This window comes from Homo sapiens, chromosome 12 (assembly GCF_000001405.40).
Source record: "Homo sapiens chromosome 12, GRCh38.p14 Primary Assembly".
Lineage (NCBI taxonomy): Eukaryota > Metazoa > Chordata > Mammalia > Primates > Hominidae > Homo > Homo sapiens.
Window position 1 is genome coordinate 132,074,720 of NC_000012.12, and position 27,193 is coordinate 132,101,912.

A 27,193-nucleotide genomic window follows, 5' to 3' on the forward strand; every position below is an offset into this window, starting at 1 on the left:
ACTCATTTTTCCCTTGGTTAAGTCAAATCTGCTTCAAAGCTTGTCTGTTGAATTTTTATCTTGATGATTTATTATTTTATTTTCAGAAGTTCCCAAATAATGCCTGGTCTTTGTTTATAGTCTCTTGTTTCCAGGCCTCGCAGAGTGAGTGAGGTGTTTTTCTGGATCTGGTGATTTCCCTGTCTGAAATGTGCTGCATCTGCGGGGACCCCTCGCAGCCTGGGGCAAAGGTGGAGTTTTGCTTCCGCGGGCACCTTCAGGTGCCACAGGAACACTGCTTGGTGTGTGGCTCAGGCTTTCACTCAGCTCTCAGGTGTTACCCACCTGGCCTCTGAATCTGTGTCTCCTCCTCTCTCCTCCCCGGCACTGAGGCTTAGGGCAGGTGCTTTTCTTACAGATGCCACTGGAGGAAGGGGATGCTTTCTTTGCAGCCTTTGGGTACCTTTGTGGGTACAGTGTCTCCCTCCAGGATGGCAGCTGGCAGTAGCACGGGGCTCTTTTGCAAGCTCCCCACCGAGAACTGGCCTATACCTGGTGTCTGGTCAGCTGTGTCCTGTGCGACCCTGGAGATCACGGGGTGCGTCTCCATGTGGCCAGCGATCCCGGGCAGAGGTTGTGCAGCTTTTCTGCTCCGTGACTCGTGATGCCCGCCTGTGCTTAGGTTTGGAGACTGGCAGTTCCTGACTCTTTGCAGGTTTCTTGGTACATTTAAGATTTCTTGCTAGTGCTTTATTTAAGACGTCTCAGGATTTTCAGTGCTGTGCCAAGTAAGTCCTGGACCATTGTGGTCTTGAGATGGGCCCTGGAGCACCGGCTGCATCTTTGTTTCCCAGCAGTTCCACAGGGGGCGCTCAGGGCACTTATCTTAGTGAATTTTATTTATAATTGTTTAAGTGACAGTAAACTAGTAAATGCCTTCTGATTGATTTTAATTTTAGTAAGGACTAACATTTATTTCGACCTTTGTTCATGTGTGAGTAAATCATGTAATTTCACATATTTCGCAGAATAATCTTGGGAAATATTATTTTCATCCGTTTTCTGTAAGTAACAGGACCCAGCAAGAGACCAGGGTCCGTGAGGGCCTTGTGCAGGGAGGGCCCTTGAAATCAGGGCCCCCAGCAGCTGCCCACGCTGGAGCCTCTCTTGTGTTCTGGGTGCACGCCATGACGGTGCTGATAGGACACACAGGTGGCCCAGAGCCTCTTACTACGTCAAGACAGCGGGAGATGCATGCAGTAGCAAGTGCACAGAAAGTGGGCACTGGGTGGAAAGTGTTGCTTTATAAATAGCCAGATCTCAATCATGACTAAGAAGAATGTAGAAAAATGATAAAATTACCAGCCTCAAAACCTTGGTGCGTCACCGGGTTCCCCACTTCAGCTGGCTGCCCTAGCTGCACTGTACAGCTCATTACTGGAACGTCGTCCAGGCCTGTCATATGCAGAGCCCTTGGGACTCACAAGACGCTCAAATACTTACCATCCTCAGTCTGATTCTTTCATATAAACTTGCAGTCGTTTTTGTGAAAAGAAAAAATGTGTCTGAAATATGAGACCAAAAATAAGCTTAAATGATGAGTGATGGCAAATTGGGGAGGCAGTCAGTTGACTCACCATGCAGTGGAACGACTTGCTCTCTCACTGCTGCAGGTGGGCACACTACGAGAATTGCTCTTCTGTGTCACCTGGTCATTGTGTTTTTTGCATTAACTGAGGACAGAAAGGGAGGAAAAATCTCTTTTTGTGCACATACTCCTTTGAATTGTATGTTTGGCTTTTTTTGTTTTGTCAAAGGTTGCAAAACTTCCTCAAGTTGTTCAACAGCAAACACCCGTGGCCAGCATCCAGCAAGTTGCCTCTGCTTCCCAGCAGGTAGGACGCATAGACAAAGTGGAAACCTCACATTTCCCAGGTCAGAGAATGGGTTGTTTTCATCTGAGGTCATGATTAGGGAATCACTTTTGATTTTTGTGATACACACAAAAACATTAACTTCAGGGGAAAAACTAGATACACTTAATAATGAGAAGAGTGAACAAGCGTTTAGAGGTTGTGTCAGCCATACTGAGGGAGCCTCACCTTGGGCTCATTCCCAGGACCCTTCATTCACTGATCATCGCGGGTGTGTCCTGCAAGTCGCAGACACTGCCCTGTGGTTTTAGGGAGGCACAGGCCTCAGGCAAGCAGGCTCCGCTCGGGGCCCGCCCTTGAGCAGAGGCGCTGTGGGCACAGTGGCCTTGCCTCCCACAGAAGCCCTTCAGGCGCTTTCACTGTTGTCACTGATGCTCCACAATATGACTCTTTAGCACAGTGCTTTAAATGTAAAGCGGTGCTTTAAACTTTCTAAATTTTGTTTAAAGTCACACTGGCATATAGATTTCAAGAAACCAAACTCTATTAAAAGCTTTACTACAACAACAAAATCAGTCCCTGACCCAGCTCTCACCCTTTTCCCAAGAGGCATCTGGTGTTAGTCTAAAAGCAACCATCTTTTAATTTTCCACTTGTGTTTAATTGGAAACCAGAGGTCATACTGTTGTGTGACTGGTCATTCTTCCGTGTCATAAAAGCATAGTCAGTGAAGTTTCTCGAGTCCTCCCCATCCCAAAGAACGTCCATTTTCCTGTCCCTGGACTGAGTTTCCTGGGCAATGTGTGTTTTCTGACTCTCTCGGCTCAGGCTTCTCCACAGACTGTGGCGCTCACGCAGGCGACGGCGGCCGGGCAGCAGGTGCAGATGATCCCTGCAGTGACCGCGACTGCCCAGGTGGTTCAGCAGAAACTCATTCAGCAGCAGGTGGTGACCACGGCGTCGGCCCCGCTCCAGACTCCAGGCGCTCCCAACCCAGCCCAGGTGCCCGCCAGCTCCGACAGCCCAAGCCAGCAGCCCAAGTTACAGATGAGGGTCCCTGCTGTCAGGCTAAAGACACCTACTAAGCCTCCGTGCCAGTAGTCAGGGCAGCAGGGCTGCCTCTCATCTAAAGCAAAACTACCTTCCTCACAGAAAACGCTTTATTAGTGAACCTTGGGACCATGTCACGCAAGAGATTCAGCACTGGGAAAGATATAATTGAAACAAAATAGTGTAATCATTTTATTAAAATGCATCCCACACTGCAGGACAAATGGTCCTTATGGAGTGCCGCGTTCTCTGTACTACGTGGCTCATGGAAAAAGTGACAACATGGCTTCCTCTAAATCATTTCACCTTTCAGTCCCCACCCGCACCCGTCCCCTAGAGCCATAGTACTGTGTTCTGAAAGCCATTTAGAATTTCTTTGTGAGCATGTAGTGCTTTGCACGCCACAGAAGCCGTCTGCCGTGTGTGAGGAGCATACAATGGACTTTCTAAAGATAAGGCGTGGGCTTCCACAGTGTCTGCCAGAGTTTAGTTCTTTATACCTTACTGAAAAATGCCTCGTGGTCTTCGCAGAGGGGAAGGCCTGTCTAAAGTCAATCATCCGAGATGGGTTTTCCATTCCAAAGAAAGGCAATATGGTTCCTTCCTTCCCTCCTAAAATATGACTTAACTTTTAAGAGAAATGTTCTGACACCCACCTAAACACACAAGGCACGTTCCTGGCCTGTGTTCAAGGGAAATGATCAGTCATTGCATTGTTATTCCAAAGAGCAGCCAACAGTGGCCTCCCCCAGGCCCTACCCTGCAATGGGATTCGCTTTCATTTAATGGAAACTTCTGGGACTGATGCCCAACTCAGTGCACTCAAGACGCATCTCCAGTTTTCGGGGGAAGCTGGTATTTGACATAGTGTGTTAAACAGCTCCTGAGAACCTTTGGGACACTCTGCCATGGCTGGCGTGAGGCCCAGAGGACCACGCAGAGGCAATGGTAGTACAGATGTCACAGCTGAGGGTACGATGAGGCCTGGGCTCAGTGAGCCAGGACGAATGTGACAGACACCCCTTGCTGCCACAGTCAGCCCTTTGACGAAGGTGGGCTGGTGATTCTGGAAGTATTGGCTATAGCGGTGGGCCCAGTCAACTCTTCCTTGTGGACTTACGACAGCAGATTTTCTCTAGGATAAGCTTGTGTGGTTCTGCCAGTGAAGCAGAGAACCACCTGTGCTGTTGTGGAAGGCGTGCCGTTGAGGGGGAAAACGAAGCCCAGTATTTGCTACTGTTTTTCCTTTTTTTACTATGACAGGAAAATAAATGCAATTTTAGTGGAATTGATTGACAGTGTCTCCTTACTTTGAAGTTTTCACCAAAGCAAAAAGGTCCATATCCAATAGTATCCTTTGTGCTGTGGCTTGATTTTGGCCTATTTTACATTATTTGGTCCAGGAAATTAGGTTATATTAGGTTTTTTGTATACTAAAAATCAGTTATGGCACAATAAAGATTTTCTGTTTTTAAATTGTATTTCATCTGCTTCCTCCCCATTCTCTCACTTTAAGTGACATTGAGGAAGGTATTCTGTCCCACAGGTTTCTGTGGACAGCGATACAGCAGGAGTCAGTGAAATCAACTGGGGAGCTCACTTGAGCTCTTGATAAGAAATGTGGAGAAAAGTAAAAACCAAGCTTTGAAGAAACAGAAGAAATTAATCTTTTAGTTAGTTGAACATACCAAAGCAGAGGACTGGAATCTGTTTGTTCTAACCAACCCGTTCTCCCTGGCTTGGCACGTGCCGTGAGAGCGCAGCTTGCCGGAGGGAGGGCCGCTGTGTGCGCCTCACATCTGGCTCCCAGTGGAAACTTTTACTCCTCCTCATCCGCAGATGTGATAGAACTGAAGTATCTAGGAATTCTGCCTTTGTCATTTGTTTTAATTTGTGTGCCCTGTTCATTTTTTTTGTCTTTCCCAAATCTTGGTAGTCTCCTTATAGTTGAAGATAAAATGTTGAGTGCACTTATTTTAGAATATCCTAGACATAACTGTCTAAGTAAAAGCGCTCTATTAATCTAAAACACTACAAGAGAATTTAACACCATCTCTCAAATGCTTTTTTGGAGAGCTTAATGGGATTCTGAATATTTGCAATGTGGAGTTTCCGCCCCGATCTCACGTCAGTGAGGGTCTCCTGTCTCTCAAGTGTGTTTCCTTTGGCTGTTCCCTAATACAAAACACGGACATATTTTTACTCGTAGCACTCAATTTAGTAACTTCTAGATGCTACCGTTGACCTGAGTTAAATTCATTTAGTCGTGTACGTAAAAACTCTCCTTTTAGTGTGTTATTTTCTTGGCCTTCCCTTTTAAAGGTTAAAGTTTCTAACCTAAGAATTAAGTACGCGTTCAGGAAGCTGTTGTCTAGGCCTTCCCCTTGTGAATCTGGGTTCATTCCAATACGGCAAGTAAGAGTTGGAAACTTTGAGAACACAGACTATAAAGGCAGCAGCCCGAACACTGTCAGACTCTAATTGGCGACCCTGGGAAACAGTTGCCCTGCTATTCTTTAAAGAAAGACGTTTATTCTGATGATAAAAACAGTTAGCCAGACTGTTTTTAAAGCACCTGGCGGGAAGCAGAAGGTTGGATCCAAGCCCTTGTTCAGATTTGGTGCCTGATAAGACAGGGGTTTCTCTTTTTGTGACCTTTATTATTATTATTTTGTTAACTGTTGTAACCAGTTAGCTGTTGTGTTTTAAGATAGAAAGGAACAAGACTAAAATTGTAAATACTTTGTAAACATCAGCATTTGTACTTGAATAGTAGGATTTTAAAGGGCATTGATAGCATACCAAACAAAAGGCAAAATAAAGTGACCTTTTTATATATTTTTTCATTTTGTCTTTCATAGAAAACTGGTATTTAAGTTAAATGAGATGCTGAATTTTTCATTTGTGTGAAGAAAAAACCAACAAGTAATGTTGGAGCCAGAGGTGTTCCCCTCACCCACTCTTCCGTGGCCATAGAAGGACCTGGAAGGAACAGAAATCACATTCACCAAGTCCACCAGGCAGCCGCTTCCCAAAGCCGCACGTGGAGGAAAGAGCTGGCACCGCCCTGCCCCATGTGGCCTGCCACCCTCACAGCACCCGTCGTCAATGTCCTGGGGGCCACACTGGCACCAGTGTCCTTCCACACCCAGTCTGTGTGCCCAACTGGCACCAGTGTCCTTCCACACCCAGTCTGTGTGCCCAACTGGCACCAGTGTCCTTCCACACCCAGTCTGTGTGCCCAACTGGCACCAGTGTCCTTCCACACCCAGTCTGTGTGCCCAAGTAAGGGCAGGGACACCGGCTCACAGGTGCTCACCACCGAAAACGCCTGTGAGCAGATGGCCTGCGAGTTGTTGCTTCTCTTTTTCTTCTGCTTTTAGACTTTTCTTCGTTTCGTTTTAAATCTGATTACAAAAATCAACGTACACTTTTAATTGAAAACGCACACATTACGCAAAGTAAAGAAGCATCCCAGAAGCCCCTTAGTTTCTGTATCTTTTCTCCCACCACAAAAACGGGGGTGCACGGGCACTTGGCCCTGCAGCTTTGGGCTTCCACCTCCGGTCTTCCAGATTGAAAGCTCCCAGGGTCTGGTTGCACACTTCGTGTCTGCAGGTGATAGTGCAGATACCAGGGTGGGCGAGAAAGCCAGCTGCAAAGCCCGGCTGGTGCTCCCTGGCCTCTGGGGGTCTGTACTGCAGTGCCTGGTGCACCTGCGGCTCCATGCCTACCAGCCACATAACCAGGGGCAGGTGACTTCCTCCTTCAGGGCCTCTGTGTCCCCATGTCCCCTCTCCTAAGGTGGCTTGAGGATCCAGTCCAATGTTGGGTGCTGCACTTGGTGTCTGTCTTTTATACTCCCAACGAAGAGGACTGCAGGTTTTGCAAAGCCTACTGTTTCTGTCATCCTGACCCTACCATCACGTCTTTGCCAAGTGTGCCTGTGGCAGCAGGCCCTATGGCGGGCTTATCTGGCCTGGAAGCTGTGTTTCTGTTTGCTGTCCAGTAGCGACCAGGGGCCAGTGGGTGAAGCAATTGTGCCTGCGCACAGCCGTCAAGACCTTAAGGTAGCTTCTGAGCCCGGAGTGTGTTGTGTCACCTCCTACTCGAGATGTCAGATCGTGTGACAGCTGCCCACCAACACCCCAGAGTTGGGCATTGTGATCCAGGGCAATGGGAGGGGAGATTCCTTTGCCATAGGGTGCCCTGCTATGCTGTTGCTGCAGCATCTATTCCCCTAATTTTTCTAAAGTTCCCATTTTATTGGGTAGATTATGCTATATACATTCGGTGGAATGCAGTGCAGCCTCTACAAAGTACAGCTGTGCTGGGGGATGAGTTTGTGAAGTATGCTACCAGGATGGAACTGGTTGTATGCCTGGATGTGCATAGAATATCCTGGAAGTATTTGCCCCTGCATGTGGTGGATTCTACGTCCATGAGTTCAACCGACCAAGGAGCAAAAATATTCAGAAACAAAAATGTGTCTATACTGAACATATACAGACCTTGTTTTGGGGGGGTTATTATTTCCTAAACAATGCTGCATAACAACTATTTACATGACATTTACATTGCATTCACTATTGTAAGTAACCCAGAGATGATTTTAAAAAGATGTTTTTGAGTTATATGCATTTTGCATCAGGGGCTTGAGCCTCTCGGAGTTTGGCATCCATGGGAGGTGCTGAGGGACGATTGTACGTTGTGTTAGCACTGCCTCTGTGGAGGGAGAGACTGGGGGGCAAGGATCAAGGCTGCTGATCTGCACTGTTATGCGCGTCCTTTTAACTGTTCAGGTAGTTTGCCAAGTGCATGAATTTTTGTGTGGTGGGGGCGGGGTGGGGGTGGGGACAGTCTCACTCACTCTGTCGCCCAGGCTGGAGTGCAGTGGCGTGATCTCAGCTCACTGCAACCTCTGCCTCCTAGGTTCAAGCGATTCTCCTGCCTCAGCCTCCCAAGTAGCTGGGATTACAGGCGCGCACCACCATGCCTGGCTAATTTTTGTATTTTTAGTAGAGATGGGCTTTCACCATGTTGGCCAGGCTGTTCTCGAACTCCTGGGCTCAAGTGATCCGCCCGCCTCGGCCTCCCAGATTGCTGGGATTACAGGTGTGAGCCACCGCACCCGGCCATGAATTAATTTTTAAAATAAGGCCCTATCAGCTTTTTTGTCACATGGTCCCCTACTCGGGAACCTTTATTTCCGACCTCCTGCCTGATCTTGTGTAGCCACCTACACTCCGACCAGCCCCCAGAGCAGCATCGTTCTGCCCCCTGTGCAGCCTTTCCTGTCTCCCTGACTTTGTGCTCGTCTCCTTTGTTGTAAAGTATTTCTCCTACTTTGAAGACTACTCCCACTTAACTAAGTGTGCATCCATTCATTCATTCATTTATTCATTTCTCCCCAGTGTTCTCCTCCAGTAGTATCTTGGGCTGAACAACAGTATTTGTCTTATTTCTCCAGCTGTAGTGTGGCTCTGTTTTATCCCTATTCAATGAATATTTAATGTAGCATATTTCATGCCAACTTTACCACTAGTGCTGGAGTGGCGGAAGGACAACACTTGGCTGTTTAAGAAAATCAAAGCTGGCCGGGCACGGTGGCTCACACTTGTAATCCCAGCACTTTGGAAGGCCGAAGCGAGCGGATCACGAGATCTGGAGATCGAGACCATCCTGGCTAACACCGTGAAACCCCGTCTCTACTAAAAATACAAAAAATTAGCCGGGCGTGGTGACGGGCGCCTGTAGTCCCAGCTACTGGGGAGGCCGAGGCAGGAGAATGGCGTGAACCCGGGAGGCGGAGCTTGCAGTGAGCCGAGATCGCGCCACTGCACTCCAGCCTGGGCGACAGAGCGAGACTCCGTCTCAAAAAAAAAAAAAAAAAAAAAAAAAAAGCTGATCAGAGAGATGGATGAATTACTGGTTTATTCAGCTGTTTATAAAGTACATACTATGTGGCAGTTTAGACAACTAGGCTATACTTGCCAGCAAAATAAAAAAGGGGGTTGCATCCTAGCAGGTCAGATAAAATAATTCAGGGGATAAGTACCATGAAGAAATGGACAGGTGGTAAGTGATACGGGTTTCACTCTTAAATAGATGGGCAGGTTATGCAGTGGAAGGCGCCTGATGCACAGCTCCAAAGCTCACCCGTCTACAGTGGACACGACGAAACCAGGGACATGTCCCACCATTTCAGTGGTCACAGGCAAGAGTCTTGTGGATCTTCGGATCCCACGTAACATCTCATCTCCCTAGGCACCCCGACTCCCCTGCCCAATTTAAAACAGACCTCAGCCTGCCCCATCCCGGCTGCTTTGCCTGGTGCTCTTCTAACTGCATGTTTATCTATCCTCCCCGCCTAGACTGTAGGGCCCGCGAGGGGAGCCGCTAGCTGTGCTTGTCAGTGTGACCAGCGCTCAGCAGGTGTCCGGCGGGAGGGCGGGCAAATACAACTCAGTGCCCACGTGCGAATGAATGAACAAACTAGTTCCGGGCGGAGCCAGAGGCGCGCGCCGGCGCGGACCGAGGCCCGGCCCTATCCGCCCCGCCCCCTCCGCCCCGCCCCCTCCGCCACGTCCCTCCGGGTCCGCTGGGCGCTGATTGGTCCGAGCCTCGCCTGCGCAGTGCCGGGCCGGCTCCCGCGCTTGCGCACTGGCTCCGCGTCGGCCGGTCGGTTTGGTCGGTTGTAGTGGCCTCGCCGCCCGGTCCGCTGTCGCAGCGCTCATCCGCGCCGGGAGCCCTTGGCTGCGTCGCCCGGCAGCCGCGGTGAGTGACGGCCCGCGTATCCGCTGCCGGGGCTGTGGCGGGCGTGAGGGGTTGGCCCTACCCTCGGCCCCCGACCGCCCACATCCGCCGGTTACCCTCGAGGCTCCCCGGCCGCGCGCTCCCCTCTCTCCGTCCCATCACCCGGTGACCCCGGCTGAGCGAACGCCCACCCCTCCCTCAGGGACCCCCTCCCCGTGACACGATCCCCCGTGAACGCCCACCTCCCTCAGTGAACACTCCCCCGTGACATGACCCCCCGCAAACGCCCACCCATCCCTCGGTGACCCTGCGCCCGTGAGCGCCCACCCCTCCCCCTGCGACCCCTCCCCCCGCCACCTGGCAACTGCCGTTTTCCCGCCTTCCCTCCTCCGCCCCCTCTCCCGCATCACCCCGTTTTCTGGTGACCGCTCCCCCCCATCCCGTGACACAAACCCCCGACCTCCCAGCCCTTCCCCGGTGACACGATCCCTGTGACCGTCTGGCCCGGTAACCGCCCCTCCCCTCATGACCCTTCACCCAGTCCCCTGGTGCCCACCCCCGTCACTGCCGCCCGCCTGGTTCCAGCCTCGCGAGACCGCTGTCTACGGCGCTGACGCCGCCTCTGCCTCTTGACCCCTTGGCCCCGCTGTCCTGATCCCTGAGGTCGGGGCCTGGTCTGCACTCCAGGAAAGACGAGTGCGCTTAGTGTGCGCTGCACGTGAGCAGTGAAGTTGATTCCACGCGCTGCGCTGCTCGGCAGCTGTCCCAGAACTGACCACGGACCCCTCCGCGGGTCCTGCTCCTGACAAGGGCCTTCCGGCACTGGGAGTTTTGTGTTAGTGGAAAGGAAGAATCTAATAATACCACCACCTTTACAGTAAAGACGCTGCGAATTGACGCCTTTTATAATAAAGACACTTATCTTGCCCAAGAGCTGGGTGAGTATTTCCTCCTTACCAAAAAGTTGGTTTACTTACAGTTAACTGGCTGAAAGTTTGAGTCTTAGGCTTATTTGTGCCGCTCCAGGCAGGCTGATTGGCGCTGGTTTCCATCTGTCAGATTGGACAGCAGTACCACTGGCTGTTGGGGGCTCACGACCAGATAGAGTCTTGTCTGGGAACCACAAGTGAGTGTTGTTACCACAGCTCTGCAGCAGTGAGGGCACCTCTCAATCCACGTGCAGTCGCCCCACCTTATCTTCAGGGGATACGGTCCAACACCCTCAATGGATGCCTGAAATCAAGGATAGTAGTGAACACTATATACACTGTTTTGTTATGCATCCTTCCATATCTACGATAAAGTTTAATTCATAAACTAGGCACAGGAAGAGATTAATAACAGCTAATAATAAAATAGAACAGTCGTAACAATATACTGTAATAAAAGTCATGTGAAAGTGATGTCTCTCTCCTAAAATATCTTACTGTATTGTACGCACATGTTTTTGAACTGCAGTTCACCGAGGGTTACTGAATCCATGGATAAGGGGAGATTACAGCAGTTTCTTTTCTGACTATGTTATTGAGACTTCAAAACTAACTAAATTGTTCGTTGAATGGAATTGTCCAAGGTGTACAAAATGACAGTTGTAACACAAAGGTGTTTCACTGACATCCCTGTCACGTTTTTGCTAAACTAATGCACTTTTAAAAATTATTATTTATGCTGGGTGTGGTGGCTTATGCCTGTAATCCCAGCACTTTGGGAGGCTGAGGCGGGCAGATCACCTGAGGTCGGGAGTTCGAGACCAGCCTGACCAACATGGAGAAACCCGTCTCTACTAAAAATACAAAAAAAATCAGCCAGGTGTGGTGGTGCTTGCCTGTAATCCCAGCTACTTGGGAGGTTGAAGCAGGAGAATCGCTTGAACCCAGGAGGCGGAGGTTGTGGTAAGCTGAGATCACACCACTGCACTCCAGCCTGGGCAACAAGATCGAAACTCCGTCTCAAAAAATATATATATTACTTATAAAAGTCTGTACTTCATGTTCAGTCACAGTAGAGACAAGTAGAAACTCCCTCCTTCAACAATACCTAGCACTCAAGGAGAGATGGCCTTACAGAGTCAGCATGTGGTGCAGAGGTCTCTTGGCCATGATTTTAGGTCCTCCTGGGTCCACATCGTCCCACCTGGCCATGGATACGTTGTCATCTGATCTGTTCACTGTTAAGGTAACAGTTGTCATAACTACTACAAAATGGTTAAGTGTTAGGACTTTAATGATGGTGATCATGTAATAAAGGGCCTGGAGGATAATGGCATGCTTACGAATTTTCTGGGTGGTATTCACATGTTTGAAAAAGCATTGAAATGTATGATTTTGGGTGATGACTCTGAGAAGTATGGAGCATGACCCATTTTGAATAGGAGAACAGAATGTTGTAAAGTGATTCTTGGTCCCCTAAGAGTCCATTGACAACCACCATGTAGAGGAAAAATGGCAAAGAATGGGCTCTCTCCAAAGTCAGGTGCTGAGGCCCTTCTAAGGAGGAAAAGCCAACGCCCTTTCACTGTGGTTTCCAGCTGCTACAGGAACAAATAGTGTCTATCTGTGTCCAGCTTATTTTTTGACTTCTTTGAGTCTGAAGATACTTTGAAAAACTTTGATTTGCCAGAGTAATTTTTTGTACCTTGGAATGAGCCATATTTTTAATTTGCTTTTTGATGTTACAAAATGTACCCTCATAAGAATTCAAACAATACAGAAAAATAAGTCCTTTTCAGTCCTTTTGTGCTGTAATAACACCCTCCATCTTTTTTTCCATTTCAGTTAGTAATATGTCTTCAACATCTGCTCATGTCAGGAAATAAAAATTTATTCTCTTTTTTTTTTTTTTTTTTGTTTCGAGACGGAGTCTCGCTCTGTCGCCCAGGCTGGAGTGCAGTGGCGCGATCTCAGCTCACTGCAAGCTCCGCCTCCCGGGTTCACGCCATTCTCCTGCCTCAGCCTCCCGAGTAGCTGGGACTACAGGCACCCACCACCATGCCTGGCTAATTTTTTGTATTTTTAGTAGAGACGGGGTTTCACTGTGTTAGCCAGGATGGTCTCGATCTCCTGACCTTGTGATCTGCCTGCCTCAGCCTCCCAAAGTGCTGGGATTACAGGCAAAAATTTATTCTTTTTATGTTTACATAATAGTCCGTACTGAGGATACAACATATTTAGTCAACCATTCCCCATTGATGGATTTCATTTTGTGTCTGTTTTTTTGCCACAGTTTGTACTGAGAGACACATTCCTATGCATGGGTCCTGACACTTTCTTTCATTTCTACAGGCTAGATTCCCATGAAGGGGAGCTAAATGGTGTTAGTGGGTCAAAGGGTATGCATATTTAACATTTAAATTTCAATAGTTATTGAGAGATCTATTCCCAAAGTTATAGCAAAGTTACATTCCTGAAGCCATGAAGGGGAGGACGCTTTGCTCCCGTCTGACATACTGCCTGTTGAATGGGTGCTGCCATGTCCTGCTGGCGCCGTGTGCTGCACTTCGTGGACTGGCCCATTGGCAGTGCCTCTTCTGAAGTTTTCCATTGTGTTCTTCCCCATTTCCTGGAGAGGTTTCCTTTTCTTTTCTTTTCTTTTTTTTTTTTAACTATTTTATAGTAGCTCTTTTTTGAGATGGAGTCTTGCTGTGTCGCCCAGGCTGGAGTGCAGTGGTGTGATCTCGGCTCATTGCAACCTCCGCCTCCCAGGTTCAAGTGATTCTCCCGCCTCAGCCTCCAGAGTAGCTGGGATTACAGACGGGCACCACCACACCTGGCTAATTTTTGTATTTTTTAGTAGAGATGGGATTTCACCATATTGGCCAGGCTGGTCTCAAACTCCTGACCTCAAGTGATCTGCCTGCCCTGGCCTCCCAAAGTGCTGCACTTACAGGTGTGAGCCACCGCAACCAGCCAAACTCTTTGGATAACAGGGATATTTACCCTTTGAAGTAATAAAATATTGCATGTATTTTTCTGCTAATTATTTTTTGTCTTTTGATCTTGTTTAAAACATCTTTTATGTAGTCATGTATTTTTTCCTTTACAGCATCTGGGTTTCCTGCATTACTTATTAAGAAGCTTTCACCACCTCGCAGTTGTAGAGATAGTCCCCGAAATATTATTCCAATAAAGTGTTTTCCTCCTTTCCTCCCTGCCTCCTCTTCCTTCCTTCCAGGATAACATTTAGTTCTTTATTCTGACTGAAATGGTATGAGGTAGGGGTGTTTTCCTCCTTTCCTCCCTGCCTCCTCTTCCTTCCTTCCAGGATAACATTTAGTTCTTTATTCTGACTGAAATGGTATGAGGTAGGGGTGTTTTCCTCCTTTCCTCCCTGCCTCCTCTTCCTTCCATGATAACATTTAGTTATTTATTCTGATTGAAATGGTGTAAGGTAGGGGATAACCTTTTCCCCCCTAGATGCTACTACCATTTCTTTTTCTTATTTTAATGTAATTAAAAATTTTAAAGGAAAGTTTTTTGAAACAGAGTCTCACTCTGTCACCCAGGCTGGAGTGCAGTGACACAATCTTGGCTCACTGCAAGCTTGATCTCCCGGGCTCAAGCAATTCTCCCACCTCAGCCTCCTGAGTAGCTGGGACCACAAGTGCACAGCTAATTTTTGTATTTTTAGTAGAGACAGGGTTTTGCCCTGTTGCCCAGGCTGGTCTTGAACTGCTGGCCTCAAGGGATCTGCCCACCTCAGCCTCCCAAAGTGCTGGGACTACAGGCGTGAGCCACCATGCCTGGCCTTAATTTTTAATTGATAAATAATTGTTGTATATATTATATATTTATGAAGAACGTGATGTCTTAATGTGTTTATATTACAGAATGATGAAATTGTGCTCATTAACAAACCCATCACCTCACACACCATTTTTATGTGGTGAAAATATTTAAAATCTACTCTTTCAGAAATTTTGAAATATACAATGCATTCGTATTTATTATAATTATCATCCTCTGCAATAGATCACTAAAACTTACTCTTTCTATCTAACTGAAATTGATCCCTTTGATCAATATCCCCCTTCCCTTTTTCCCCCACCCCCCGGCCCCAGTAACCACTGTTCTCTCTGTTTCTATGAGTTCAACCTTTTTAGATTCCACGTGTAAGTGAGATCATGTGGTATTTATCTTTCTGAGCCTGCCTTATTTTACTCAGCACAGTGTCCTCCAGGCTCATCCATGTCCTTGCAAATGACAGAATTTCCTTATTTTTTTAATGGCTGTATACTATTCCTTTGTGTTGTATATATACCACACTTTTTAAAATCATTCATCTGATGATGGGTACCCAGGCTACTGTGAATAATGCTGCCATCAACATGTGAGTACAGATAACTATTCAACATCCTGATTTTGTTTCCTTTGGCTGTGCACCCAGAAGTGGGATTGCTGGATCATATCTTCATTCTATTTTTATTTTTTTGAGGAAGCTTCGGACTGTTTTCTATAATGGCTGTACTAATTACATTCTTACCAACAGTGCACAAGGGTTCCCCTTTCTCCATATCCTCGCCAACACTTAACTATCTTTTGTCTTTTTGGTAATAGCTATCCTAGCAGTTGTGAGGTGATAATCTCATTGTGGTTTTGCTTTGCATCTCCCTGATGGTTAGTGATGATGAGCCTTTTTTCATGTATTTGTTGGCTATTTGTATATCTTCTTTTGAGATATGTCTATTTAGGTCTTTTGCCCATTTTTAAATTAGGTTGTTTTCATGCTATGGAGTGGTTTCAGTTCCTTATATATTTTGGATATTAGCCCCTTATTAAATGTATGGTTTGCAGATATTTTCTCCCAATGCCACTACCATTAAAGTATCTATACATTTTTAATCTTTTTCCTTTTTCTTTCCTCTTTTTCTTTTTTCCATAAAAACCTGTTGGCTTTTGTATGTTTATCTTGATTACAGACACTTCACCGAATTCGAAGTATTCTTATAAGTTTTTGTCTCGGATTTTGTAGGCATGGAATTATATCATTTGCAAATAAAGATAATTTCAGGCTGGGCATGGTGGCTCACACCTGTAATCCTAGTACTTTGGGAGGCCAAGAGCATGCTACTTTTTTTTAGTTTAAACTTTAAATTTTTATGGCTACACAATAGCTGTATATACCTACATTGCTTTTTTATTACAGAAGCTCTAGAATAAGTATGACTATTTTCCTAAGTCAGGAATTCTACTATTTTGTTTTTCTTTTATTTTGTCAGTATTCTTATGTTTTTCAAAAAAGCACTGTCTCTTTAAAAACATATCACTTCATTGAGCTTTAAGCTAATTTTTTTCTTATTTCTAAAGCAAAACAAAACCCAAACTCATTGTAATCCTCTTTGGAATTGCATTACATGTATATGTTCAGTTGTGAAGGCATGACATTTTATGATAGTAAATCTTATTCTGGAACATGGTATGTTGCTTCATTTTATTCGTGTTTTTTTGAGACGGAGTTTTGCTTTTATTGCCCAGGCTGGAGTGTAGTGGCGCAATCTTGGATCACCACAACCTCCGTCTCCCAGGTTCAAGCGATTCTCCCGCCTCAGCCTCCTGAGTAGCAATTACAGGTATGTGCCACCACAGCTGGCTAATTTTGTTTTTTGTTTGTTTTTTTTAGTAGAGATGGGGGTTTCTCCATGTTGGTCAGGCTGGTCTCGAACTCCCAACCTCAGGTGATCGCCCGCCTTGGCCTCCCAAAGTGCTGGGATTACAGGTGTGAGCCAACGCACCCGGCCTTATTCATGTATTTTTTAATGTTCTTTACTAACATTATATAGTTTATTTCTCTTCTTGGTAAATGTACTTCTTGGTAAATGTACTTCTTGGTAATGTACTTGGTAAATGTACTTGGTAAATGTACACTGGTATTTTATAGTTTTTGTGGCCTTTGAATGGGACATCTTAAAATTTCCATTTCAGTTGTCTATCGCTGACATAAAAAAAAAGCCTGTTGATTTTTGTATATTTATCTTGATTGCAGGCACCTCAACAAAATTGTTATTCTTTTTTTTTTTCGAGGCCGAGTCTCACTCTGTCGCCCAGGATGGAGTGCAGTGGCGCAATGTCGGCTTACTGCAACCTCTGCCTCCCAGGTTCAAGCGATTCTCCTGCCTCAGCCTCCAGAGTACCTGGGATTACAGGTACTCGCCACCACACCTGACTAATTTTTTGTATTTTTAGTAGAGACGGGGTTTCACCATGTTGGCCAGGCTGGTCTCAAACTCTTGACCTCAGGCGATCTACCCACCTCAGCCTCCCAAAGTGCTGGGATTACAGGTGTGAGCCATTGTGCCTGGCCAAATTGTTATTCTTACAAGTTTTGGTCTCGTGGGTATTGTAGGCATACAATTATATCATATACAAATAAATATAATTTCAGGACAGGTGCGGTGACTCATGCCTGTAACCCCAGCACTTTGGGAGGTTGGGGCAGGAAGATCACTTGAGCCCAGGAGTTTGAGACCAGCCTGGGCAACATGACAAAACCCCGTCTCTACAAAAAATTAAAAAATTAGCCGGGTGTGGTGGGGGGCGCCTGTAGTCCCAGCTACTTGGGAGGCTGAGGTGGGAGGATCACTTGAGCCTGCGAGGTCGGGGCTGCAGTGAGCCAAGATTGTGCCACTGTACTTCAGCCTGGGCAACAGAGTGAGACCCTATCTCTAAAAAATATATATGTAAATAATAATAATAAATTATATTCCCTTCCCTCATTACTTAGTTCATGTTTCTTTTTATTTTTAACTGCTAAAACCTCTGTTGAAGTGCTACATAGAAATGGTGACATTTGCATCCTTGTGTTCCTGATTTAATGGAATTAGTTTCTGCATATCAACATTTAATATGATTATTGCTGTTGAGTTTTGGGAGCTAGTTTTTAAAACATTATGTTCAATTTGTTTCCTTTGATATGTGTTTTACTTTGAATTATTATTCAGAAGAACTGCTAAATTTTGTATCATTTTTTTCATTTAGTGGCTTTTAGCTTTAAAATGATGGTGAAGTTTGTAGATTTCCTGATATTGGCCCACTCCCTGAATTACTGGACTGACTCCCCTTTGTCAGTGTGTTTTTCTTTGAGTGTATGCTCGGTTCTATTTATGAATTTTTAAAAATAATTTTTATACCACGCATATGCAAAATTCTTATAAGTTTATTGCTTTTTTGTACTGTCAGGTTTGGGTATTAAATGCTAATTTCGTAAAGTGAATTAGAGAGATTTCTATTTTTTCCATAAACTTGAAATATTTAAATAGCATAGGAATTACTTGAGCTTTAAAGGTTAGAGCTCAGTTAAGTAAAATTCCATTGTCTCTTAGAGTCTTTTAAAACAATAGATATTTAATTTTCTTTTTGATTTTTTCTTTTTCTTTTTCTTTTTTTTTTTTTTTGAGACGGAGTCTCGCTCTGTCGCCCAGGCTGGAGTGCAGTGGTGCGATCTCAGCTCACTGCAAGCTCCGCCTCCCGGGTCAACGCCATTCTCCTGCCTCAGCCTCCCGAGTAGCTGGGACTACAGGCGCCCGCCACCACGCCCGGCTAATTTTTTGTATTTTTAGTAGACACGGGGTTTCACCGTGTTAGCCAGGATGGTCTCGATCTCCTGACCTCGTGATCCGCCTGCCTCGGCCTCCTGAAGTGCTGGGATTTCAGGCGTGAGCCACCGCGCCTGGCCCATTTGTCTGTTTTTATTTTTTCTTTTTTCATTAATCAGACTTGCTTGGACTTTATCCATTTTATTTATTTTTCCCAGAGAATCAGTTTTTGGTTTAATTTAGCCTTTCTACTACTTTTGTTTGTTTGTTTCATTTTGTTGTTTTCAGTTTTTGTATACTTTCTTAAATTGAACACTTATTTTCAGCCTTTTATTTTGATAATAAAAATACTGAAAGCTGTAACTTTTTCTTAAAGTACAGCTTTGTTTCCCATAGGTTTTAAAAGAGAAATACTCTATATTTTGTTTGTTTTTTTAACTTTCTAGAGAAGTTCGTAATTTCATGTTTAATTTTTTTTGGTTCAGATATTATTTAGTGGTTTTTAAAAACTTCCAACTACTCTTTGTCATTTTTATGATGAATTTCTAGTTTTATGAATTTGGCATCTAAAATATAATTAATTTGTTATGTATAACCTTCATTTTGGGGACTTAATGCATATTTTATTTATGGCCTATAAAAATTTCACAAGTACAAAGTTGTTTGTTTGTTTGTTTGAGACCGAGTCTCGCTCTGTCACCCAGGCTAGAGTGCAGTGGCGTGATTTCAGCTCACTGCAACCTCCCCCTCCCAGGTTCAAGTGATTCTTCTGCCTCAGCCTCCCGAGTAGCTGGGACTACAGGCATGTGCCACGACGCCCGACTAATTTTTGTGCTTTTAGTAGAGACAGGGTTTCACCATGTTGGCCACGCTGGTCTGGAACTCCTGACCTCATGATCTGCCCACCTCAGCCTCTCAAAGTGCTGGGATTACAGGCGTGAGCCACCGTGCCTGGCCAAGTACAAAGTTTTATAACAAGCATATTACTTATTTTGTTGCGTTGTATTCCATTCTTTATTTTTGTCCGATTTGATCAATCAGGTTTTGAAAGAGGTGTTTTACAGTCGTTCATTCTAAGTGGGTTTTTTTCTTTTTTTTTTTGGTTTTGGTTTCAAAATCAGGTTGTCCTAGGAAATTTTGTTTTCATGCATTTGGTTGCTATAATGTTGGTTTATAAAGATTTATGTATGTCATGTATAATTTGTGAGTTTAAACTTTTTAAAATTGTATTAGTGTATTTTAGAGACAGGGTCTTGCTCCGTCACCCAGGCTGGAGTGCAGTGGCATGATCATAGCTTACAGCAGTCTCCAGCTCCCAGGCTCAAGTGATCTTCCTGCCTCAGCCTCCCAAGTATCTGGGACCACAGGTGCCATCACATGCCCTGCCGAGTTGCAGCTTTAATCGGGACATAAGGCTTCTTTTTGTCCTGTTCTATGTGTTTGCCATGAATTTTGTTTTGCTTAATGTTGACTGTACTACTGTGGCTCTCGGAGAGAGGGGGCAGTTGAAAATCTTGCCAGGTGTCCTTGGGACTGGGTGTGCCTGGCTGGACGCAGAGCTGCTTGAGAGGGGCTGACTGTGGCCGGCGCTTCTGGGCCTGAGTGTGTCCTCTCCAGCTCCCCTGTGCCCACCTTTGTTTCACGCAGAACCTTCCTCAGCGGGTTCCACAGCTGAGGCTGGCCGCCTCCAAACGGGGTCCCCGCCAGTTGCAGGCTTTGAGCCATGCCTCTGCTGCTTGTCCTGGGTTCCCTTCTGCCATCACCCTCAGGAAGCCTCTTCTAGAGGAGTGTTCCAGCTGGCTCTGAGACTCTGTCTCCTGCCTCGCCGACCATCAGGCAGACTTGAGTGCATTCCCTTTACCTATTTTGTTTGGTGGCCCCGGTCTGCAAAAGACCCTCCCCTCCCCCCTCCCCTCCCCTCTCCTCTCTTCTCTTCTTTCTTTTGATGGAGTCTTGCTCTGTCGCCCAGGCTGGAGTGCATTGGCGCTATCTCAGCTCACTGCAACCTCCGCCTCCCAGGTTCAAGCGAATTCTCCTGCCTCAGCCTCCAGAGTAGCTGGGATTACAGGCATATGCTACCACGCCCAGCTAATTTTTGTACTTTTAGTAGAGACTGGGTTTCACCATGTTGGCCAGGCTGGTCTCGAACTCCTGACCTCAAGTGATCCATCCATCTCAGCCTCCCAAAGTGCTGGGATTACAGGTGTGAGCCACCGTGCCCAGCCTTGTTTTTTTCTTTTTCTATCCAACTTATCTTTTAAAAAATTTTATTCAGCCTTTCTCTTCAGGAAACATCTTTTTCTTTTTTCTTTTCTTTTTTTTTTTTTTTTGAGATGGAGTTTTGTTCTTGTTGCCCAGGCTGGAGTGCAGTGGTGCAATCTTGGCTTACTGCAACCTCCACCTCCCAGGTTCAAGTGATTCTTCTGCCTCAGCCTCCTGAGTAGCTGGGATTACAGGCATGCGCCACCACGCCCGGCTAATGTTTTGTATTTTTAGTAGAAACGGGGTTTCTCCGTGTTGGTCAGGCTGGTCTTGAACTTCCGACCTCAGGTGATCCGCCCACCTCGGCCTCCCAGAGTGCTGGGATTACAGGCATGAGCCACCTCGCCTGGCTTTGTTTTTCTTTTTCTATCCAACCTATCTTTTAAAAAATTTTATTCAGCCTTTCTCTTCAGGAAAAATCTCTTTTTATATTTCAATTGGTTTATATTCTGTTAGCCTCATCCTCCCTACCAATCCTGTTCTAACAGTGAGACAGAATCATAGTTTTCAGACTCTCCATTGCATCTTTGATTTTCTGAGCACACTTGATTCCTAGAAATAAAGAGTTCTGTTAAATAGAGTGAACCCCAAGTTTCTCTTCAAAGAATCAGTATGTCAGTCTGTTCAGCTTCCTGTTCTTTGATTCTCCATTTTAAAGTTTAACTTCCTGGTTCTCTTCACCCCCTTGCCTCTAGTTTCAGTAAACAACTTTCCCGCCAGTCCTAATCACTAGTTCACATCTGTTCCCCTGGTCACCTGCTCCATCCTGACTCATCTCGGTCACCTGCTTTGACCGGAGTCACCTTTAGTTACCTCTTCCTAACCGTCCTTCCCACCAAACTGCTCACCCCGCCACTCTGGCTCGTACTCCTGCTCTTTTTAAAATAGCCAGTCGGAATTAGCTTAGACTGTGTGGTCCAACCCTAGCCAATAAGGGAACGACACAGCAGTAGGGACTACCTGCCTCAGGGATAAGACCTCCTGTCCCTCCCGTGTCCAGGTATGCTCTTGCCATGGCTCCACCTGCGAGGGTCACCCTTTATGCAAAAAGTCAAAACTGCCTTGCTGAGAACATTAAATGGATGCTCGAGTGCTATTTCTCTGTGGCACTGGGGAACAAGCATTTTGCATTTCTAACAGTCCAGGCACCAGCCTTTAAAAAAAAAATAGAAAAAAGATAGATAAAATAGTCAATTAAAAATATAAATGCATATTTATCCACTATACTTTAAAAATAGCTTTATTTAGGTATAAGTTACCTACCATAAAATTCACTCACTTTAAGTGTACTCTTCATTGAATCCTAGTAAGTATTCACCACGTGGTTGCAGAGCAGCCTTTTAGGGTGTTTTCCTCACTCTAGGGGGCCCTTGCATCCCTTTGCCATCTTTCCCGCCTCAGGCCCAGCCCCAGGCAAGCGCTGATCTGCTGTCACGTAATTTGCCTTTTCTAGAATTCCTTATAATGGAATTAGGAGCAGTGTCCTCTTTTGTGTCTGGCTTCTTTCACTTAACTTTTTTTTAAAGATTCATTCGTCTTTTTGCATGTATCACCAGTTCATTCCTTTTTATTGCTGAATGATATTCCAAATATATTCCGTGTAGGGATAGATCGTAATTTTTTTATCCATTCACCTGTCAGTGGACATTCGGGTTGTTTCCAGTTTTTGACTCTCACATATAAGCCTAGGAGGAACACGCACTTACAAGACTTTGTGTGGACACATGCTGGCTCTTTTCCTAGGTAAGTACCTAGGAGTGGAACGGCTGGATTGTATGGCAGGTGTTTACCTTTTTAAGAAATTGCCAAACTGTTTCCCAAAGTGTGTGGACCATTTTATATTCCCCCTAGTAGTATATGAATAGGTTCCAGTTTCTCCACATCCTTAGCAGCCAGCACTTGGTATGATCGGTCTTTAGCCATCTTAGGAAGGCCTGTAGGAGCATCTCACTGTGGTTTTAATTGCATTCCCCTAATCACTAATGAAGTTGAGCATCTTTTCATGTGCTTATTTTCTATCCATTTTTCTTTGACAGTGTTTGTTGACATCTTTTGCCTGGTGAAATAAAAAAAAAAAAACCTGAGTTGGAGAATTCTAGATAGAAGTTCTGTATCAGATATGTGATTTGAAAATATTTTCTAGTCTGTGGTTATCTTAACAGTGTCTTTTCAGGAGCAGAAGTTTTAATTTTCATGAAGCCTAATTTACCAGTTTCTTCTTGTATGAATCATGCTATTGTATCTGAAAAGTCTTTGCCTAACCCAGAATTACAAAGATCACACACAAAGATGTTTTTTCTATATTTCCTTCTAGGAAGTTTCTGGTTTTAGATTTCACATTTAGGTCTACAATCCATTTTGAAATTTTTTTGGTCTGTTGTACAAATAATGGATGAGAGTTCATTTTTTTGCATATGGATGTCCAGCTGTTTCAGCATCATTTTTGAACACATTATCCTTTCTCCACTTTATGATCTTCGCCTCTGTTGAAAATTTATTAACCATGTATATGTGAATCTATTTCTGGCATTCTGTAAGATTGTTCCATTTCCACGCTGTCTTAATTGCTGTGGCTTTATAATACACGTTAAAGTCAGGAAATCTAAATCTTTTTGTCTTTTTCATAATTTTGGCTCTTCTAGGTTCTTTGCATTTCCTTATGAACTTTAAAATCTGCTTCTCAATTTCTGTTAAAAGCCTCTTGGGGTTTTGATTGACATTACATTCAATTTTTAGATCAATTTTGGGAGAACTGACATATTAACAATACTGAGTCTTCTGATTCATGAGCACTATTAATGTCTTTAAAATTTTCTCTCTGCAGTGTTTTGTGGTTTTGATGTACAGGTCTTGCACATCTATCAGATTTATTCTTGAGTATTTTATATTTTTTGAAATAATTTTTTTTTGAGACAGGGTCTTACTCTGTCTCCCAGGCTAAAGTACAGTGGCACAATTATAGCTCGCTGCAACCTCTATCTCCTGGGCTCAAGTGATCCTCCCACTATAGTCTCCCAAGTAGCTGGGACTACAGGTGTATACCACCACCCCCAGCTAATTTTTTTTTTTCTGTGGAGATGGGGTCTTACTATGTTTCCCAGGCTGGTCTTGAATTCCTTGGTTCAAGTGATCCTTCTGCCTTGGCCTCCCAAAGTGCTGGGATTGCAGGCGTGAGCCATTGTGCCTGGCAGGATTTTCTCAGAGATGATTATTTTGCCTGAGAATGAAGGGCTTTAATCTTTTTCCCTTACAGTCTGTCTGTGTTTTATTTCTTTTTCTTGACTGACTGTGCTGCTACAATCTCCATGTTGAGTCCAAGTACTGAGAGAGGATGTCCTGTATCAGTTCGTTCTCACACCGCTATAAAGAAATACCTGAGACTGGGTAATTTATAAAGAAAACAGTTTTAATTGGCTCACGGTTCTGCAGGCTGTACAGAAAGCATGATGCTGGCATCTGCTCGGCTTCTGGGGAGGCCTCAGGAACTTACAATCTTGGCAGAAGGCAAAGGGGGAGTGAACACGATATGGCCAGAGCAGGAGTAAGAGAGAGAAGGGGAGGTGATGCACACTTTTTTTGTTTTAGACAGAGTCTCACTCCATCACCCAGGCTGGAGTGCAGTGGTGTGATATTGGCTCACTACAACCTCCGCCTCCCAGGTTCAAGCGATTCTCCTGTCTCAACCTCCTGAGTAGCTAGGATTACAGGCGTGCGCCACCACGCCTGGCTAATTTTGTATTTTTAGTAGAGACGGGGTTTTGCCAAGTTGGCCAGGCTGGTCTCGAACTCCTGACCTCAAGTGATCCACTTGCCTCGGCCTCCCAAACTGCTGGGATTACAGGCGTGAGCCACCACGCCTGGCTGGTGATACACACTTTTAAAATGACCAGATCTCATGAGAATTCACTGTTGCGACCAAGGGGGATGGTGTAACACTATGAGAAACTGCCCCCATGATCCAGTCACCTCCCATCTGGCCCTTCCTCCAACACTGGGGATCACAATTCGACATGAGGTTTGGTGGGGACACAGATCCAAACTGTATTACATCCCTTCCTTGTTTCTGTCTTAAGAGGGAAAGCTTTCAGGCTTTTACCATCGAGTATCATATTAGCTGTTGTAGCCACTGAGATTCTTTATCAGGTCGAGGAAGTTTTCTTCTTCCCAAGTTTACTATATAGAACCAGATTTTCACCTTGGATCTGTTTTCCTTATTCCTAAAGTATGTCCTTCATTTCTTGTACTGCACATCTGCTGGTGGTGAATTCTTTCAGTTTTGTACATTTGGAAAAATCTTTGTCTTTTTTCTTTCTTTTTTTTTTTTTTTTAGACTAGAGTCTCACTCTGTCACTCAGGCTGGAGTGCAGTGGCCTGATCTCAGTTCACTACAACCTCCGCCTCCCAGGGGTTCAAGCAATTCTCCTGCCTCAGCCTCCCAAGTAGCTGGGATTACAGGCGTGTGCCACCACGCCTGGCTAATTTTTGTATTTTTAGTAGAGATGGGGTTTCGCCATGTTGGCCAGGCTGGTCTCAAACTCCCGACCTCAAGTGATCCGCCTGCTTCAGCCTCCCAAAGTGCTGGGATTCACTCTAATACACTAAGTTCACTCTAATACGACGAATACGGATGAACTGCTGGTTGGCCTTCGCCTCCTCCAGCACGCGTTCTGATTGTTGCTGGCCTGCCTGCATGGCCCGGGGAGGGCTCCTCTTCCTTCTCCCTGCTGCAGCTCTGTTGTGCCCCCGGAGTATTCTGAGCCCGTTTTCTAGTTCCAGGCCTGCGTCAGTGTAGGGTGACAGGAAGGGTCCTCTGCTGCACTCCACCTCAGGAAAAGCACCGTCTGTGGAGGAGAATCTGAACTGAGGAGGAAGCCCTGCCCAGCAGCCTGGGGGCTCCCAGGGATGTCTGCTGCATGGAGACTGCAGAAACCTGTGGTGGGGCAGAGAGTTCCAGTTTGGCCGTGTGTTGACTGCCCTCATGCAGACTCTACCAGCGGCCAAAGCGGTGTCTGGAGACGACAGTGTGTGTGCCTAGGGCACACAGGCACGGAGACACCGCCAGCCCTTTGTGTTGTGATCAGGGCTGGCGGGAGGCTCTGACTAGGGCTGTGGGAAGGGGACGTGTGCACTGTCCTCTTTCTGAGCGTTGCTGTGGTGGGAGTCCTGTCACGGGGAGCAGTCATGGAAGAGGACCGGCCCCTCCTCCCAGGTACAAGCACAGGCTCCTGTGCACTCCGACTCGCTGTTCCCCTCATCTGGCCTCCCCAGAGCCCAGGCACTGCCTGCTAACCCCAGACCTTCTGTGGTCCACTTAGGACTCTTGCCCACCATTGGTCCTGCCGGCCGGCCCGCCCAGGCTGGGCTTTCTCAGGGGGACTCCAGCTGCCCTTCTGCCCCATGAGGAGACACTAGCTCCCTTGGCCTCATTCCCTTACTGGCAACTGAGGGTCTGGTTCTTAGAGTCCCTTATGTGTAAACATGTAAAGCTTGTGGCTGTGAGGTGTGTTTGGTAAGAACAGTCCACAGCTTTCACCAGATTCTCAGGAGTGTCAGTGGCCCCTTCCCGGTCAATAAGTTGAAGAGCCGGGGTCAGTCTGGCTGCCACTGAGGGCCAGGCTGCCTCCTTGTGTGCTTGGGTGGCCTGACTGCAAGGAGATGCTCTCACTCAGCCCTGGACACACGGTGCAGATGGTGTGGCGGGTCAGCCCCACAGGGCCACCTCCTCAGTCTTGGGTTCTCAGCCTCAGCTGGTTCACATTTGGGGCCAGAAGATTCCTCCTGGTGGGGCCGTGCTGTGTGTTGTAGGATGGTTAGAGACCTCCAGGCCTCTACCCACCAAATGCCAGCAGTTCTCCCACCCTTATCAGTTGTGACAACCAAAAATGCCTCCAGACATTGCCTGATGTCCCCTGCGGGCACAGTCTTCCGAAGTACAGAGCCACTGATCTATCTGATCTTAGAAAGAGACTGTAGTCATTGCATTTCCGTAGGAAAAGGTGTTCTGAGTTAGAAATAATGTACAAATAGTTTTTTGCCTTGTATCTTCTATGCACCTTCTAATTATTATTTTACTAGATTACAGTCCCTCATGTGCAAACTTTGCACACCTGGAAGAAGAGTTTACTAGTAAGCAAAAGCACTTTTTTTTTTTTTTTTTTTGAGACAGAGTCTCGCTCTGTCGCCAGGCTGGAGTGCAGTGGCACGATCTCGGCTCACTGCAAGCTCCACCTCCCAGGTTCAAGTGATTCTCCTGCCTCAGCCACCCGAGTAGCTGGGACTCCAGGTACCTGCCACCATGCCAGCTACTTTTTGTATTTTTAGTAGAGACGGGCCAACATCACCATGTTGGCCAGATGGTCTTGATCTCTTGACCTCATGATCCGCCTGCCTCGGCCTCCCAAAGTGCTGGGATTACAGGTGTGAGCCACTGCGCCCAGCCAGGAAAACCACTTTTTAAAAAGATGCCTTTTTTTCCGTGTGGATATAAAAATGCCACATAGTAATTAGAGAACATCTAGAAAGCATAAAAAAGTATAAAAAGGGAAAAAATCATTATAATCCACCTAACCCAGAGACCACCACCTGTGGACACATTTTGAGTCTTTTTATTACATCTTTAAAATTACATAATTTTGGATCTTGAATTTTTCCATTTAAAATCAAACATAAAGAGTGTGTTTATCAAGCACTCTTTATAGTGGTTTTGCTGGCAAGCGTCGCTTCGTGCCTGCCTGGCTCGCCACAC

At 45.9% G+C, this 27,193-nt stretch overlaps 1 protein-coding gene and 1 pseudogene across 2 annotated transcripts in view, besides 6 other annotated features; both read left to right on the forward strand.

Annotated features, from left to right (window-relative positions):
- EP400 (E1A binding protein p400) overlaps positions 1-5,741 on the forward strand; it is a 130,519-nt gene extending 124,778 nt beyond the window's left edge. Inside the window, exons 52-53 of the mRNA NM_015409.5 lie at positions 1,797-1,874; positions 2,682-5,741. Of these exons, the coding sequence (NP_056224.3) occupies positions 1,797-1,874; positions 2,682-2,954 (351 nt within the window). The 3' untranslated portion in view covers positions 2,955-5,741. The remainder of the gene's footprint in view (positions 1-1,796; positions 1,875-2,681) is intronic.
- Positions 8,165-8,666: an enhancer, noted in NCBI's record as "H3K4me1 hESC enhancer chr12:132567429-132567930 (GRCh37/hg19 assembly coordinates)". NCBI's record gives its function as "activates a minimal SCP1, AML or CMV promoter by ChIP-STARR-seq in primed H9 embryonic stem cells {active_cell/tissue: H9 hESC(primed)}" and the evidence as "EXISTENCE:reporter gene assay evidence [ECO:0000049][PMID:30033119]".
- Positions 9,325-9,404: a silencer, noted in NCBI's record as "silent region_5110". NCBI's record gives its function as "represses an Ori minimal core promoter by ATAC-STARR-seq in GM12878 lymphoblastoid cells {active_cell/tissue: GM12878}" and the evidence as "EXISTENCE:reporter gene assay evidence [ECO:0000049][PMID:35858748]".
- Positions 9,425-9,874: a silencer, noted in NCBI's record as "silent region_5111". NCBI's record gives its function as "represses an Ori minimal core promoter by ATAC-STARR-seq in GM12878 lymphoblastoid cells {active_cell/tissue: GM12878}" and the evidence as "EXISTENCE:reporter gene assay evidence [ECO:0000049][PMID:35858748]".
- The window catches only part of EP400P1 (EP400 pseudogene 1), a 42,058-nt pseudogene continuing 24,428 nt past the window's right edge, over positions 9,564-27,193 (forward strand). The window contains exons 1-3 of the transcript NR_003290.2: positions 9,564-9,680; positions 10,538-10,597; positions 16,130-16,224. The product of NR_003290.2 is annotated as an EP400 pseudogene 1 (transcript). The remainder of the gene's footprint in view (positions 9,681-10,537; positions 10,598-16,129; positions 16,225-27,193) is intronic.
- Positions 10,083-10,943: an enhancer, noted in NCBI's record as "H3K27ac-H3K4me1 hESC enhancer chr12:132569347-132570207 (GRCh37/hg19 assembly coordinates)". NCBI's record gives its function as "activates a minimal SCP1, AML or CMV promoter by ChIP-STARR-seq in naive H9 embryonic stem cells {active_cell/tissue: H9 hESC(naive)}" and the evidence as "EXISTENCE:reporter gene assay evidence [ECO:0000049][PMID:30033119]".
- Positions 10,485-10,534: an enhancer, noted in NCBI's record as "active region_7374". NCBI's record gives its function as "activates an Ori minimal core promoter by ATAC-STARR-seq in GM12878 lymphoblastoid cells {active_cell/tissue: GM12878}" and the evidence as "EXISTENCE:reporter gene assay evidence [ECO:0000049][PMID:35858748]".
- Positions 11,719-11,895: a silencer, noted in NCBI's record as "fragment chr12:132570983-132571159 (GRCh37/hg19 assembly coordinates)". NCBI's record gives its function as "represses an EF-1alpha promoter that drives an FKBP-Casp9 reporter gene in an ReSE screen in K562 erythroleukemia cells {active_cell/tissue: K562}" and the evidence as "EXISTENCE:reporter gene assay evidence [ECO:0000049][PMID:32094911]".